General features: G+C 50.2%; 1 pseudogene; it reads left to right on the top strand.

The window, feature by feature from the left end:
• Window positions 1-4,713: 4,713 nt before the first annotated feature.
• Window positions 4,714-4,861, top strand: LOC124902849 (uncharacterized; annotated as a pseudogene).

Below are 18,026 nucleotides of genomic sequence, written 5' to 3'. Positions count from 1 at the left end.
AGCCGAGATCGTGCCACTGGACTCCAGCCTGGCGACAAAGCGAGACTCCATCTGAAAAAAAAAATTATAGGCATTCTTATGTTTTCTGCCTATAAATGCTCTCCTCACTGCAGCCTCAACCTCCTGAACTCAAGGGATCCTCCCACCTCAGCCTTCTGAGTAGGTGGGACTCTAGGCGGATGCCACCACGCCCGGCTAATTTTATTTTTTGTATAGATGAAGTGTCCTTGTATTTTCTCCCAGGCTGTCTCTTGTCTGTTTTCTTTTTTAGTATATTATTTAATTTAGAATAGTTTTAGATTGACAGAAAAATCACAAAGATAGTAGACAGTTCCCATATAGCCCACACCCAGCTTCCTCTATTATTATTTTGTTATTATTATACATTTGTCACAGTTAATGAACCAATATTGATACATTATTGCTAAGTCCGTAACTTATTCTGATTTCCTTAGTTTTTACCTACTGTCCTGTCGTGCCTGACCCCTATTGATGCCAATAGCGATGGCACTGTGTCCAAGAGGCTGAAGAAGAGACCTGGAGGCAGGGAACGAGACATAGGGTTTATTTATTTATTTATTTATTTATTTATTTATTTATTTATTTATTTTTACTTTTTTGAGACAAGGTCTTGCTCTGTTGCCCAACCTGGAGTGCAGTGGCATGATCACTGCTCACGGCAGCCTCATCCTGCTGGACTCAAGTGATCCTCCCGGACTCAAGTGATCCTCCCACCTCAGCCTCCCGAGTAGCTAGAACTACATGTGCATGCCACTACACCCAGCTAAGTTTTTTAATTTTTTGTAGAGATGGAGTCTCACTGAATTTCCAGGGCTGGTCTTGAACTCCTAGGCTGAAGCAATCCTCCCACTCAGCCTCCCAAAGTGCTGGGATTATAGGTGCGAGCCACCACGCCTGGCTGAGACACAGGGCTGATTGAGGGGGACTTACATATGAGGACAGTCCAGTGGCAGCAGGCTGGACAAGAGAACTGCTACTGTTTATAAACGGCATGCAGTTTATATAGCATTTTTACTTAGCAACCTCCACCTAACCCAAAGCAAAAGGGCCTTGACCCTGTACATGACCTGAGTTCCAAGGGATGGGCCAAGGGTTCTTCATAGATAAGGGGTGAATCTCTAGAGCGGCCACTCTCAGATTCCTTAGCTCAGGACCGTCACGCGTGTTTCTTACGTCTTTCTCAGGGTATGCTTACATTATTGGCGTCAGATGCATCTACCACACATGTCCTCCTTCTGTCCCAGGGTCCCCCCTAGGACACCACATTACATTTACTCATCATGTCTCCTTAAGCTCCTCTTGGTTGTGACAGTTTTTCGTCTATCCTCATTTAAAACCTTTTTTTGGTTTTGTTTTTTGTTTTGGGTTTTGTTTTTTGTTGTTGTTGTGTTTTTGAGACGGATTCTCACTGTGTCGCCCAGGCTGGAGGGTAGTGTCACAGTCTCAGCTCACTGCAACTTCCACCTCCTGAGTTCAAGCGATTCTCCTGCCTCAGCCTCCCGAGTAGCTGGGATTACAGGTGTGCACCACCATGTCTGGCTAATTTTTGTATTTTTGGTAGCAACGGGGTTTCACCATGTTGGCCAGGCTGGTCTCAAACTCCTGACCTCAGGTGATCTGCCTGCCTGGGCATCCCAAAGTGCTAGGATTACAGGCGTGAGCAACCACACCCAGCTTTGGGTTTTTTTTTTTGAGATGGAGTCTTGCTCTGATGCCCGGGCTGGAGTGTAGTGGGGTGATCTCGGCTCACTGCAAATTCTGCCTCCTGGGTTCCATCAATTCTCCTGCCTTAGCCTCCTGAATAGCTCGGATTACAGGCGCCCACCACCACGCCAGGTTAATTTCTGTATTTTTAGTAGAAACGGGGTTTCACCATGTTGGCCAGGCTGGCCTCGAGCTCTTGGCCTCAAGTGATCGGCCCACCTCAGCCTCCCAAAGTGCTGGGATTACAGGCATGAGCCACCGGGCCAAGTCTAAAACCATTTTAAAATTTTACTTATTTTTTATAGATGAGGTTTTGCTATGTTGCCCAGGCTGGTCTCAAACTCCCAGGCTTAAGTGATCTTCCCACCTTGGCCTCCTGAGTAGCTGGGATTACAGGTTTCCTTGTTTGTTTTTTAAATGACCTTGACAGTTTTGAGAAGGACTGCCATCTGTTTTGCAGAATGTCCCTCAATTGGCATTTGTCTTTCTCATGACTAGGGAAGGCTTATGGGTTTTAGGTGAAAAGATCATAGAGGGAAAGTGCCTCTTTCATCGTAACCCTCATGTTGCTGGTGTCGGCCTTGGTCACCTGGCTGAGCTAGTATTTGTCAGGCTTCTCCACTGTATTTTTATTTTTTTTCGAGTGGGAGTCTTGCTCTGTCACCCAGGCTGGAGTGCAGTGGCACAATCTTGGCTCACTGCAACCTCCACCTCCTGGGTTAAAGCGATTCTCCTCCCTCAGCCTCCCAAGTAGCTGGGATTACAAGCGCCCGCCACCATGCCCAGCTAACTTTTGTATTTTTAGTAGAGACCTGGTTTCACCATGTTGGCCAGGCTGGTCTTGAACTCCTGACCTCAAGTGATCTGCCTGCCTCAGCCTCTCAAAGTGCTGAGATTACAGGCGTGAGCCACCGCGCCCGGACTTCTCTACTGTAAGTTACTCTTTTATTCCCTTGTCTCTTGTCTTTTACTGTGTTTATGGTGCCTTTCATACAGAAATTTGACATATTCAGTCTTGTTAGAACTGGACATCTGTCGTCTAAAAGAGAGCAGCTGTGGCGGTGGCAGCCCCTAGGTTTCAAGTGCTCCTGGCACACCTAGCCCTGTGCTAAGAGCTTCCAAACGTCACCTCACTGATGCCTCAGGACAACCCATAAGCTTGGTCCCAACATTGTCATAGATGAGACATTTTCAAAGATGAGAACACAGGATCTTCCAGCCATGAGCCACACTGGAGCTGGCAAGTGGCAAAGTCAAGATTCATACCCGGGTCTGTGTGACCCTGCACATAACAGCTGAAATGTAGAATCAAAGCCCAGAGATGCTTGTCCAAGCTTTGCCCAGGGCCCTCCCTATGGCCAGGCCACCTCTGGCACCACTGAGTCTGCAGTTAGTTCTCACCCACCACGCCCTGCCTGACCTCAGTGTCTGCTTCAGGCTGCCCATTCCTGACCCTCCTCCAGCTTGTGTCCTTCGGCTGCCATGGCTTCCAGCAGCCCCAGGGGAAGAGACCCAGACTTCCCAGCAAATAAACACCGCCCACAGATGTCCAAATATACAGAGATAAGTGCTCCCTCTTGCCACAGCTGAGACTGGCTGGAATTCTAAACATCTCATTTAGCTTCTGCTTCTCCTGGTGATGGCTCTGGGTCCTGAGTTCTCATTGGAACAGCACGTGGCCTCTTCTGTATGGTGGAGGTGATACCTGCACCGTGAGGCATAGTCACCATCAACAACGGCAGTAATAGGAACTAACAGCCACAGTCCTGGTTTGGATGCATTTTATATTTATTTATTTATTTATTTATTTATTTATTTATTTATTTATTTATTTTTAGGGACAGGGTCTTCCTCTGTCACCCAGGCATGAATGCAGTGGGACCTTGTTTTGTTATTGTTATTATTGTTGTTTAAGGCAGGGTCTTGCTCTGTCACCCAGGCTGGAGTGCAGTGACGCGATCTCAGCTCTCTGCAGCCTTGACCTCCCAGGCTCAAGTGATCCTCCCACCTCAGTCTCCCAAGTAGCTAGGACTACAGGCACGAACCACAATGCCGGGCTACATTTTTTGTATTTTTTGATGGGTTTCGCCATATTGCCCGTGCTGGAAGTGCCACCTTCTTAGCTCACTGCAGCTTCGAACTCCTGGGCTCAAGCAATGCTCCAGCCTCAGCCCCCATCCATCAGTAGCTAGGTCTTGAATACGTTTTATAGAACAATTGTGAGCAAAGTCTTCACAGACATCTTGGAAGCATCTTCACCATCAGATGGAGCCCCTTTGTGAGTTTTGGAACAAGGCTGTTGTTCCTCTAGTCCCAGCTACTCAGGAGGCTGAGGCAGGAGAATTGCTGGAACCCGGGAAGCAGAGGTTGCAGTGAGCAGAGATCACACCACTGCACTCCAGCCTGGGTGACAGAGTGAGACTCCGTCTCAAAAAACAAAAACAAACAAGAAAACCCACTCTATTTTGAACATATACAAAATTAGATACTCCCAGCCCCACCCAGCACCCAAGCTGATCTTGCTTCATGTACATTCTCGTCCATTTCCCTCACCTTTGAAGCAAATCCCAGACATTAGATTATTCCATTCATCACAAGGAAAATAATCTAAAAGATGAGGAGTCTTTTATCAGCGTAACTTTTTTTTTTTTTTTTTTTTGAGACGGAGTCTCGCTCTGTCACCCAGGCTGGAGTGCAGTGGCGCGATCTCGGCTCACTGCAACCTCTGCCTCCTGGGTTCAAGCGATTCTTCTGCCTTAGCCTCCTGAGTAACTGGGACTACAGGCGCTTGCCACCACACCCGGCTAATTTTTGTATTTTTAGTAGAAATGGGGTTTCACCATATTGGCCAGGCTGGTCTTGAATTCCCGGCCTCGTGATCCATTCGCCTTGGGCTCCCAAAGTGCTAGGATTACAGACATCAGCCACCGTGCCTGGCCTCAGCATAAATATTATACCAAGCAAAAAAAATTTTTTTAGGAATAAATAAGGACTGTACTTTCAAGGATCATTTCTATAGTTTATTACTAAAGAAGTTTCTCTGAACATATAAAGCAAAACATTTTTTAAGAAGAAAAAATAGACCAGATGCTGTGGCTGACACTTGTAGTCCCAGCACTTGGGTAGGCTGAGGTAGGTGGATCACTTGAGGTCAGGAGTTTGAGAACTGCCTGGGCAACATGGTGAACCCTGTCTCTACTAAAAATACAAAAATTAGGCCAGGCACGGTGGCTCACGCCTGTAATCCCAGCACTTTGGGAGGCCAAAGCGGGTGGATCACGAGGTCAGAAGTTCAAGACCAGCCTGGCCAACATGGTGAGACCCTGTCTCTACAGAAAATCCAAAAATTAGCTGGGCTTGGTGGCACGTGCCTGTAGTTCTAGCTACTCAGGAGGCTGAGGGAGAATTGCTTGAACCTGGGAGACAGAGGTTGCAGTGAGCCAATATCGCGCCACTGCACTCCAGCCTGGGCGACAGAGCAAGACTCTGTCTCAAAAAAAAAAAAAAAAGTTAGCCGGGCATGGTGATGCACACCTGTAATCCCAGCTACTTGGGAGGCTGAAGCACGAGACTCGCTTGAACCCAAGAGATGCAGGTTAGTGAGCCGAGATTGTGCTACTGCACTCCAGCCTGGATGACAGAGTGAGTGAGACTCCATCTCAAAAGAAAAAATAAATTGTTATATCATTTTTGCTCCTAAAAAAAGGAATAGTTCTATAATATCAAATATCTGGTCAATTTCTAGTTAATGTTCAAAGTTCCAAATGTCTCATAAATATTTTCTTTATTTTTTTTTTTTTTGCAGTTTGTTTGAATTAATATCCAAATAGAAATAATGCAATTGGTTAATAGGTCAGGTTTCTTTTCATCTAGAGCTTTCCCATCTCTCTTTTTTCTTCATAATTTATTTGTTGAAATAAAGTGGCCGGGCGTGGTGGCTCATGCCCATAATCCCAGCACTCTGGGAGGCTGAGACAGGTGGATCACCAGATGTCAGGAGTTCGAGATCAGCCTGGCCAACATAGCGAAACCCCATCTCTACTAAAAATACAAAAATTAGCCAGGTGTGGTGGCGGGCACCTGTAGTCCCCGCTACTCGGGAGGCTGAGGCAGGAGAATCGCTTGAACCCGGAAAGTGGAAGTCGCAGTGAGCCGAGATTTTGCTGCTGCACTCCAACCTGGGTGACAGAGCGAGCGAGAGTGAGACTCTGTCTCAAAAAAAAAAAAAAGTTGGGCTGTTTGTCCTGTAGGAATCCCCACACCTGCATTTTGCTGGTTGCAGCCCCATGGTGTGATTTGATATGTTTATCCATCGCCAGGGGTTCTTGTAAATTGGGGTTGGATCTAGAAGCTTGATAAAACGCAGCCTTGACTTATTTGGGCAAGCATGTTTTATAGATAGTACTGTTGCTCCCATCAGGAGGTACATACTGTCTGGCTACCTCTCTTTTTGTGATGTTATCATATTGCTTTATTTTCTTAATTTCTTATTTTGTTTTGTTTTTTTGTTTTTCTGAGACAGGGTCTCCCTCTGTGGCCCAGGCTGGAGTGCAGTGGCGCAATCTTGGCTCACTGCAACTTCTGCCTCCCAGGTTCAAGCGATTCTCCTGCCTTAGCCTCCTGGTTAGCTGAGATTACAGGCGCATGCCACCACGCCCCGTTAATTTTTATATTTTTAGTAGCGATGGGGTTTCACCATATTGGTCAGGCTGGTCTCGAACTCCCGGCCTCAGGTGATCCACTCACCTTGGTCTCCCAAAGTGCTGGGATTACAGACATGAGCCACTGCGCCCGGACTTATTTTGAAAAAAATTTATACCTACGGAAAGTTGCAAGGGTAGTACAATGTATGCTCATATACCCTTCACCTTGATCCACCAATTTTTGCCACATTTGTTTTATTGTTCACATTCTTTTATATGAATATGTAATATGTGTATATGTGTATATATTTCCTTAAAATCATTTGAGAATAGGTTGTAAACATTATGTCCCTCACCCCTAAAAACTTCATTCAGCATGCATCTCGTAAGAACTCCCTTACATAACCATCAAATTTGGGAAATGTAATGGTGATACCATTCTATTCTTTAATATCTAGATCATATTGCAATTTTGCCAATTATCCTGTGTTGCTTTTTTTCTTTTAAGACGCAGTCCTGCTCAGTTCCCCAGGCTGGAGTTCACTGGCATAATAATCGCTCACTGCAGCTCCATCTCCCAGGCTTAAGCAATCCTCCTGTCTCAGCCTCCCCAGTAGCTGAGACTACAGACATGCACCACCATGCCCAGCTAATTATTTTTTTAGCAGTAGACATGAGGTCTTGTTATGTTGCCCAGGCTGGTCTCAAACTCCTGAGCATGCCTGTAATCCCAGCATTTTGGGAGGCCGAGGTGGGCAGATCACAAGGTCAGGAGTTCGAGACCAGCTTGGCCAACATGGTGAAACCCCGTCTCTACTAAAAATACAAAAAATTAGCCAAGCGTGGTGGCAGGTACCTGTAATCCCAGCTACTTGGGAGGCTGAGGGAGGAGAATCGCTTGAACCTGGGAGGCAGAGGTTGCAGTGAGCCGAGATTGAGCCACTGCTCTCCAGCCTGGGCAACAGAGCGAGACTCAATTTCAAAAAAAAAAAAAACAACTCCTGAGCTCAAGTGATCCTCCTGCTTCAGCCTTCCAAAGTGCTAGGATTACAGGTATGAGCCGCCATGCCCAGCCCTGTGTTGCCTTTTGAAATGAACTTTAAAAGACTTATTTCCAAAACATCTAATTCTGGCAGCCACGAATTCATGGCCTCATAAGTAATTTATAAATCTATGTTAAATCTATTATTTGATTTTATTTGATTTGATTTGATTTTTTTTTTTTTTTGAGACAGAGTTTCACTCTTGTTGCCTAGGCTGGAGTACAATGGCGTGATCTTGGCTAACTGCAACCTCCGCCTCCTGGGTTCAAGCAATTCTCTTGCCTCAGCCTCCTGGGTAGCTGGGACTACAGGTGTTAGCCACCACGCCTGGCTAATTTTTGTATTTTTAGTAGAGACGAGGTTTCGCCACTTTGACCAGGCTGGTCTTGATCTCCCGACCTCAGGTGATCCACCCGCCTCAGCCTCCCAAAGTGCTGGGATTACAGGTATGAGCCTCTGAGCCTAGCCTGATTTAAATTTTTATCAAAGCAACCTATGTGCTTAGTTTACAAAATCAAATAGTTGAATTCAACCTGGGAAAGCTGATTTCCAAAAAAAAAATCAAATAGTTGAAGACTTAAGAAAACCAGCAGCACTTGGCCCTATCCCATGCCACCCCCAGGGCAGCTGCTCTGGGAGGTGTTTCCTCTGAGATTTACCTCTGTATTTCTAGATTATATGCTTGCATTGCAATTTCTTGGTTTTTCAAATTTGGACACTATCTATTGACTTCCTACTATGGAAGATGAGAGCTTAGCTCTTCTATCTCCCTCCCACTCCCCACATACATACACACCTATCCTTTCTTCTGGCCCTCCCAACAGAGTTCCGTCGTGATTTTTGGTTAAATAAGTATTTGTTGATTACATTATTTTTACTATGTAAATATCATTTACAGCTGAGCTGCTTAGTGTTCTAAGTGTTCATTTCCATTCTTGTATTTTTTTTTTTTTTTCATAGCTACAGGGCTGGGGCTTGATTGTTCTGGGCTCCCAGAGTCCTACCCAGAGCAGAAGTTGGTACACATTTGCTGAATGAGCGAATGAGGCTTGAGAGCTGAGCATGGTGGCTCATGCCCATAATCCCAGCATTCTGGGAGACAGAGGCAGGAGGATCACTTGAGCCCAGAAGTTCGAGATCAGCCTGGGCAGTATAGCAAGACCTCATCTCTACTTTTTATTGAAAAAAAAAAAAAAAACTGTGGGCTGCGCGCCATGGCTCATGCCTGTAATCCCAGCACTGTGGGAGGCTGAGGTGGATGGATTACCTGAGGTCAGGAGTTTGAGGCCAGCCTGGCCAACATGGTGAAATGCTGTCTATACTAAATATACAAAAATTAGCTGGGCATGGTGGTGCATCCCTGTAATCCCAGCTACTTGGGAGGCTGAGGCCACTCACTTGAACCCAGGAGGCAGAGGTTGCAGTGAGCTGAGATCACGCCACTGCACTCCAGCCTGGGCGACAGAGCAAAACTCTATCTAAAAAACATAAAAATAAAAATATAAATAAAAAATATTTTTTTTGAAAAGAGAGTCGGCCGGGCGCGGTGGCTCACGCCTGTAATCCCAGCACTTTGGGAGGCCGAGGCGGGTGGATCATGAGGTCAGGAGATCGAGACCATCCTGGCTAACAAGGTGAAACCCCGTCTCTACTAAAAATACAAAAAATTAGCCGGGCGCGGTGGCGGGCGCCTGTAGTCCCAGCTACTCGGGAGGCTGAGGCAGGAGAATGGCGTGAACCCGGGAAGCGGAGCTTGCAGTGAGCCGAGATTGCGCCACTGCAGTCCGCAGTCCGGCCTGGGCGACAGAGCGAGACTCTGTCTCAAAAAAAAAAAAAAAAAACAAAAAAAACAAAAAAAACAAAGAGAGTCAGGGCAGACATGTGCCAGTAAATTCAAAAGATTAGAGAGGGAACCCCAAATTCTCAAGTTCCGCTACCTGACCCAAGTAAGCCTCCTTCCATGAAGTTTCCTAAACTCTTTTGGATGCTGAAACCTCATTCAATAAGTCATTCATTCATTCAAGTCAGTTAACAACTTTTTTTTTTTTTTTGAGGTGGAGTCTCACTCTGTTGCCCAGGCTGGAGTGCAATGGCATGATCTCGGCTCACTGCAACCTCCACTTCCCAGGTTCAAGCGATTCTCTTGCCTCAGCCTCCCAAGTACCTGAGATTACAGGCATGCACCACCACAACTGGCTAATTTTTATATTTTTAGTAGAGACGGGGTTTCTCCATGTTGGTCAGACTGTTCTCAAACTCCCGACCTCAGGTGATCCGCCCACCTCAGCCTCTCAAAATGCTGGGATTATAGGTCTGAGCCACCATGCCCGGCCTCAGTTAACAGCTATTAAATGAGCATCTATTAAGCACCAGGTATTGGGAATACAGCAGGACACAAAACATATCAAATTCCTGTCTCATGGAGCTGACATTCTGGTGGGGGAGACGATAAGTAAATGTCAGCCAGAATAAACAGGTAAGGAACAGAGAGAAAGGATGGGTTGGGGAGAGCTGGGTTTGTTGTTGTTGTTGTTGGAGACTGAGTTGTTGGAGGCTGGAGTGCAGTGGCACAATCTTGGCTGACTGCAACCCCACCTCCCGGGTTCAAGCAATTCTCCTGCCTCAGCCTCCCGAGTAGCTAGGATTACAGGAGTGTGCCACCATGCCAGGCTAATTTTTGTATTTTTAGTAGAGATGGGGTTTTGCCATGTTGTGCAGGCTGGTCTCGAACTCCTGGCCTCAAGTGTTCCATCCACCTCAGACTCCAAGAGTGCTGGGATTGCATCTGGAATTGGTGGGTTCTTGGTCTCACTGACTTCAAGAATGAAGCCGCGGACCCTCGCAGTGAGTGTTACAGCTCTTAAGGTGGTGCTTCTGGAGTTTGTTCCTTCTGATGTTCAGATGTGTTCGGAGTTTCTTCCTTCTGGTGAGTTCGTGGTCTCGCTGGCTCAGGAGTGAAGCTACAGACCTTCGCGATGAGCTCCTAAGGCAGTGCCGCCTGGAGTTGTTCGTTCCTCCCGGTGGGCTCATGGTCTCGCTGGCTTCAGGAGTGAAGCTGTAGACCTTCGCGGTGAGTGTTACAGCTTATAAAAGCAGTGTGGACCCAAAGAGTGAGCAGTAGCAAGATTTATTGCAAAGAGCAAAAGAACAAAGCTTCCACAGTGCAGCAGGCGACCCTAGTGGGTTGCCACAGCCGGCTCCCGCAGCCTGCTTTTATTCTCTTATCTGGCCCCACCCACATCCTGCTGATTGGTAGAGCCCAGTGGTCTGTTTTGACAGGGCGCTGATTGGTGCCTTTACAATCCCTGAGCTAGATACAAAGGTTCTCCACGTCTCCATCAGATTAGTTAGATACAGTTTCGACACATAGGTTCTCCAAGGCTCCACCAGATCAGCTAGATAGAGTGTCAATTGGTGCATTCACAAACCTTGAGCTAAACACAGGGTGCTGATTGGTGTGTTTACAAACCTTGAGTTAGATACAGAGTGCCGATTGGTGTATTTACAATCCCTGAGCTAGACGTAAAGGTTCTCCAAGGCCCCGCCAGAGCAGTTAGATACAGAGTGTCCATTGGTGCACTCACAAACCTTGAGCTAAACACAGGGTGCTGATTGGTGTATTTACAATCCCTGAGCTAGACATAAAGACTCTCCACGTCCCCACCAGACTCAGGAGCCCAGCTGGCTTCACCTAGTGGATCCCGCACCGGGGCTGCAGGTGGAGCTGCCTGCCAGTCCCGCGCCGTGCGCTCGCATTCCTCAGCCCTTGGGTGGTCGATGGGACTGGGCGCCTTGGAGCAGGGGGTGGTGCTCGTCGGGGAGGCTGGGCCGCACAGGAGCCCACGGAGGGGGTGGCAGGCTCAGGCATGGCGGGCTGCAGGTCCCGAGCCCTGCCCCGCGGGAAGGCAGCTAAGGCTCGTGAGAAATCGAGCGCAGTGCCGGTGGGCTGGCACTGCTGGGGGACCCGGTACACCCTCCGCAGCCGCTGGCCCGGGTGCTAAGTCCCTCATTGCTCGGGGCCAGCAGGGCTGGCCGGCTGCTCCGAGTGGGGGGCCCGCCAAGCCCACGCCCACCCGGAACTCCAGCTGGCCCGCAAGAGCCCCGTTCCCGCTCGCGCCTCTCCCTCCACACCTCCCTGCAAGCTGAGGGAGTGGGCTCCAGCCTTGGCCAGCCCAGAAAGGGGCTCCCACAGTGCAGTGGTGGGCTGAAGGGCTCCTCAAATGCCGCCAAAGTGGGAGCCCAGGCAGAGGAGGTGCCGAGAGCAAGCGAGGGCTCTGAGGACTGCCAGCACGCTGTCACCTCTCAGGATTACAGGGATGAGCCACCTCGCTCAGCCAAGACCTGTTTTTGGTAGAGGTCAAGGAAGGCCTCTGTGATGAGGCAATTAATGAGCAGAGAGGCAAGGAAGTGAGGCAGGCATTTCGGGGAAGGTATTTCAGGTAGACGGAAGGGCAAGTGCAAAGGTCCTGAGGTGGGATGTGTGTTGGGTTCCGGGAACAACAAGGGGCCAGGGTGAGTGGAGCCGAGGGAGAGGCCTCCTGATGAATTTGGAGGCACCCAGAGGGTAGAGTGTCATGGGCCGTGGAATTTACTCTGCATGAACAGGGAAGCCATTTCTGAATTTTGATCAGAAAAGTGCCTGGACATGGCTTTTGTTTTGGACCTTGTGTGGTAAGTAAATGGCAGAGGGTGAAGCTGAACATGGGCCACCAGGTAGGAGGCTGCAGAAATTATCCCAGTGAGAGATGACGGTGGCTCAGCCCAGGGCTGTGTTTCTGAGGATGAGGGGAGGAGCTCAGAGTGTGGATATATTTTATTTTGAAGATGGGGCTGACAAGGTTAGCTGGTGGATGTGGATGTACAGTGCCAGGAAAAGCGTTCCCTGCTTGCTTCGCTGCTTCCTCCATTAGTGCAACCGAGCAGCCCCATTTTCCCTGCAAGATGTTTATTTCCATCTCTCAGGCTTTTTCCTCGCAGGAAGCTCACGGGAAGCTGAGGAAGGTGTCTGGTCAGGCCGAGAGTCACACTGGTTTAGGAAGTGGGGCCTCCGTTTAATCTCCCTCATCTCACTGCCCCAGTTAGCACTTAACTCTGTTCTGCTTCGTGGCAGAGCAACCAGTCTGGAAAGAGTCACCGACCATGGAGGTTTCCATCCTTCCAACTGTCTCTTGTCTGTGGACATTTAATGTCAGCACACTAACTAGACATTGTCTGTTGTCTATGTTCAGGAGGTGACAACCATGAGAGTGAGGGTGGGGAGGTGGGACCTGTGGCTCCAGCTTGGGCGCGGGGACAGAGCAGGGAAAGGCCCAGGAGGCATCCCACACAGGCACAGGCAGAAGCAGGGGCGCAGGCATGCCACCAACCATCATTGACACATCCGCCTCCTGCTGTCAGGGCTGATGGCCTTGGCGGGGGAGGGGAGGCCCAAGTGCTCCTGGCCTCTGGGAGCAGCTACTGGGGGAGGTGGAACTCGGGCAGGGGGAAACAAGACAGAAGGTAAAGCTATGCCAAGGAGGCCAGATGGGGTGTTGGGTATAGGGCACTCAGCTGTGTGTGGCCCAGTTAAGCCCGCCCCTCCCTCTGAGCCTCTGTCTGCACTCCTCCCAGTGGACCCCACCCAACCTCTGTGCTCACATGACCACAAGGAATCTTTCTAAGCTGCTGCTCTCTCTCTTCTACTGAACACTCTGCAATGGCTCCCTCGTGCTCCTCAGGCCAAGTTCAAACTCTTGTTCTTGTCTTCCCAGTCTTTTTTTTTTTTTTTTTTTTTCCTTTTTTGGAACAGCATCTGGCTCTCTCTCTCAGGCTGGAGTACAATGTCGGCTCACTGCAACCTCTGCCTCCTTGGCTCAAGCGGTCCTCCCACCTCAGCCTCCCAAGTAGCTGGGACCACAGGTGTGCACAAGCATGCCCAGCTAAATTTTTTTTTTTTTTTTGAGAGGGAGTCTCGCTCTGTCCCCCAAGTTGGAGTGCAGCGGCATGATCTTGGCTCACTGCAACCTCCGCCTCCCAAGTTCAAGTGATTCTGCCTCAGCCTCCTGAGTAAGTGGGATTACAGGTGTGTGCCACCGCGCCTGGCTGATTTTTGTATTTTTAGTAGAGATGGAAGTTTCACCATGTTAGCCAGGCTGGTCTTGAACTCCTGGCCTCAGGTGATCCACCCACCTTGGCCTCCCAAAGTGCTGGGATTACAGGCGTGAGCCACCACGCCAGGCCCTTCCTGGTCCTTTGAGCTCTGTCCCTTGCCAAACTCTCTGTCCTCACATCCCCCAGTTCCACCTTTTCCCCAGGAAACTGAGTTTGCCTTGTTCTCCCAATATTCCAGCTGTTCCATATCTGCATGCCTTTGCACCTGCCGTTCCCTCTGCCTCATGTGCCTTTCCAACTCTTCCACTGGGGTAGCCCACACTCAGCTCTGCCGGCCCCTCCTCAGGAGGCTGTCTCTGGTGCCCACCCTCCAAGAGCTAACCTTGCCTTTCTCAGGGCACCTTTGTGCTGGGATGTGGGCTCTACCTGGCTGGACTTCAGTGCGCAGGCGCGACTCATCTTTGCTGAAGTCCTCGCCCTAGCAGGGCCCTGAGTGAGCCTTGCCAACTATTGACTAACTGACTGCTTGTACCTGAAGCTCAGAGAAGGGAGACATGGCCTGGCTGGGGTGGGACAGGGAGGGTTCTTTGGCAGCCACAGTGGGAGTAGGGGGCCGGGAGAAAGCTCCTTCCTCCCAAACCCACGACCATGCAGGTCATTAAAGGACAGCCCACCTCCTGGGAGGCCCCAGGGTGGCCATCTGGTCTGGGGCTGGACCCACTTTCCCAGATCCTGATGGCCCTTCCCTGCTGCCCATGGGCCTGCCAAGGCCAAGACCAGCCAAGGTGAGCTGAGGACACACTGGGCTCCAAATGCCAGGCTTCCGAGGCACTCATTGAGCCGGCGCTTCTGTGGGCTGGCCCTGGGCTCAGCACAGTGTGTGCCTTGGCCCTGCTCCATCCTCCAGGTCGCCTCCAGCCAGGTGCTATTATTAACATCCCCATTTTTCAGAGGAGGCTGCTGAGGCTCAGAGATGAGACCTGCCCTGGGTTGCACAGGGAGAACATCCTGGAACTGGCTCCTAAGAACCAAGGACCAACTGCTCCACATGTTTTACATGTACTAACTCAACAATCTTGTAAGGAGGGACAGCCAATTCGAGGGACAGAGAGGTTAAGTGGCTTGCCTGATGTCACCCAGCTAGCAAGTGGCAGAGCCAGGATTCAAACCCGGGCAGTTTGGCCACAGAGCTTTTACTCTCTAACATGATGAAGAAGGTGGTGAGGAGCGGGTGATGGTGGTGTTGCCTCTCTGGACAAAGCATCTGCAATTTGCAAAGCGCTTACAACACTCAGCATCTCATCTGCCCTTCAGCCCAAGGGAGAAACAAAGATCAGGATCCCATTTTACGGAGGAGAAAATGAAGACCAGTGGTGTCCCCAGGGTCACTCAGCAGGCTAGTTGCAGGGTGGAGGCTTGGACTCAGACTTCCACCGGAGCCTGAGCCCCTCCTGGCTCTCCTGACTGGCTGGGCACCCTGAGTTTGGTGCCTCCCGGGGAAGGGGGCTTTGGATACCCAGTGCAGGCAGAGAACTCTGGGCTGGGAGGTAGGAGTTCTGGAAGGGGACCCCCAGCATTGCCTCTGGTTTGCTGTGGGAGCCTCAGTTTCCTCATCTGTAAAATAAATGGGTTGCATCTGTTGGACTCCTAGGGCCCTTCCAGCCTGAGTTTGCAGTCTTCACTCAGAGGTGGGTGGGGGCACAGCGTTCCCTGCTTGCTTCGCCGCCTCCCCTATTAGTGCAGCCAAGCAGGCCCATTGCCCCTGCAAGATGGTTTTTTTCTACCTCTTGAAGGCTTTGCCCTCACAGGAAGCTTGCAGGAAGCTGGGGAAGATGTCTGGCCAGGCCCAGAATGTCACACTGGTTCAGGAATGGGGACCTCTGTGTGATCTTCACCTTGCTGCCCCAGTGAACACTTACTCCATTCTGCCTCGTAGCAGAGCAGCCAGTTATGTGTCTGTTGGTCTGTCTGCCTCTCCAGCCACAGTGAGCATCTTGAGGGAAGGGGTCATATGCGCAGATCAAAGCCTGGTAAGTAGTGAGCTCCCCAGCCCTGGAAGTGTGAGGAGAGGCTGGGTGAGGGATGTTGGGATGTTGAGCAGGAGAGAGTGGAGCTTGGTGGGGAGGGACTGAGGGGGTCACAGGCTTCTCCAGATCCTGTCTGTAGGACCCCATGAGGAGTACCTGAGACCGCATGGCATGGGAGAGGACTGGGTTGCTCTGCCCACTGGGGGCAGCTGAAATAGAACATAGAAATGGACTCGACTGCCAGGCGCTGTGGCTCACGCTTGTAATCCCAGCACTTTGGGAGGCCGAGACGGGCGGATCACGAGGTCAGGAGATCGAGACCATCCTTGCTAACACGGTGAAACCCCGTCTCTACTAAAAATACAAAAAATTAGGTGGGCGTGGTGGCGGGAGCCTGTAGTCCCAGCTACTCAGGAGGCTGAGGCAGGAGAATGGCGTGAACCCGGGAGGCAGAGCTTGCAGTGAGCCGAGATCGCGCCACTGCACTCCAGCCTGGGCCCTTCCTCTCACCAGGTTTGAACCCAGCCCTGCCATGGCTCTGGCCCAGCTCAGTGCGGTCCACGCCTCCTCCAGTCACCTCACCCTGCCCTAAGAGCTGGCAAGGAAATTTATCATCTCCCTTTGACAGAGGAGGAAATGGAAGCCCAAGGGCATGAGTGTGTGGGCGGCAGTTCCACAGCCTGGCCTGAGGCCCAGTCAGTGTCTTTCCCAGCCACCCACCTGCCCCATGACCGTGAAGTTCGTATGTGCAGACAAAACCAGGATGGGCAAGACCTGAAGAAGTCTTGAATGGGGCAGGGAGCAGGGAGAGGAGATGGGGAATCATTTGCAGCAAACGTGTGCAGAGCCTGGGCCAGGGGGCATCTGCTGTGTCCTAGACCACGGAATGGGTTGGCACTTCCCAGGTGAACTCTGTTCTCTCCAGCCTCTGGACCTTTCCCATGCCGCTCCACCTTTCCCTTCACATGAAAGATTGATCCCCTCCCTTTATCTGGCCAACTCCTGCTCATTCTCCAGGTCTCAGCCTCAATGCATTCAACAAATGCTTCTTCCTACAATGTGGCGGCCACTGTGCAGGGTGGGCTGCTCATGGTGAGTGGGAGACATGGTCCTGCCCTCAAGGAGTTTCCAGTCTCCTGAGGGAGCCACGTGTTACTAACATGGAATGAGTCAGGGTAGGCTCATGACTATAAAGAGCAGCCCCCAAATCAGTGGCTTAACATGATGAAGGCCTATTTTGTACCCAAGACAGTCCAAATGGGAGGCAGGGGACTCTGTTCCAGGTGAATTCTACAAACACACCTTGTGAGTTTCCTGTGGCTGCTGTAACAAATGACACCAAATCCAGTGGCTGAAAGCAACAGAAATGGGTTCTCTCGCAGTTCTGGGGAACAGCAGCCTGAGGTCAAGGTCAAGGTGCCAATGGGGCCACACTCCCTCTCGAGGCTCTAGAGGAGGGTCCTCCCTTGCCTTTTGCAGCTTCTGTGGTGTTGGCAATCCTTGGCTTCCAAGGTTTGTGGCCACATCACTCCAATCTCTGTCTCTATCTTTGTGTCGCCTTTCCTCTGTGTCTTTCCTTTGTGTGCCTCTCTGACAAGGACACCTGTCATTGGATTTAGGGCCTACCTGGGTAATCCACAATGATCTCTTCCTCCCAAGATCTTAACTTAATCACACCTGCAAAGACCTTTTTTCCAAATAAGGTCACATTCACAGGTTCAGGGATTAGAACATGGACACATCTCTTTGGGGCCACCATTGAACCCCCTCCACACCCGATGTCTAAGTGCCTGGGGCCCTGGGGACGAAGCCAGGATTCTGGGAAGGTGAAGGGAGACCAGCTCAGTCTGGGGGAGCAGGAGAGGGAGACATCCCTGAGGATGAGATACTTGAGCCAAAGATGAAGAGAGAATAAGCTAGAAAAAGGGAGAGAAGAGTGTTCTAGGCAGAGGGAACAGTATGTGCAAGCAGTATGTGCAAGGCCGAGGCAGGTGGATCATTTGAAGTCAGGAGTTCAAGACCAGCCTGGCCAACATGGTGAAACCCCGTCTCTACTAAAAATACAAAAATTAGCCAGGCGTGGTGGCAGACACCTGTAATCCCAGCTACTTGGGAGGCTGAGGCAGGAGAATTGCTTGAACCCAGGAGGCGGAGGTTGCAGTGAGCAGAGATCCTGCCACTGTACTCCAGCTTGGGTGACAGAGTAAGACTCCATCTCAAAAAAAAAAAAAAAAAAAAAGAATGGATCTCCATTTCTTCACCTGTAGAATGAGGACAATGATGCCAGCCCTGTGTGGCTGCCACGAGGATGATTAGATCATAAGGATACTTCCTCTGTTCTGGGCAGTGCTAAGGACCTTACATTCATGAGAGCCCCTCAGTGACCCTAGGAGCTGAGTGCCGTTATTAGCTGCATTTTACAAATGAGGAAACCGAGGCAGAGAAGATAAGTGACTTGCTCAGGGTTATAAACCACCAAGTGGTAGAGTCAAGATTCA

This window comes from Homo sapiens, chromosome 11 (assembly GCF_000001405.40).
Source record: "Homo sapiens chromosome 11, GRCh38.p14 Primary Assembly".
NCBI lineage: Eukaryota > Metazoa > Chordata > Mammalia > Primates > Hominidae > Homo > Homo sapiens.
Note: the sequence above shows the minus strand (reverse complement) of the source record. Positions and strands in the feature narration are given on the sequence as shown.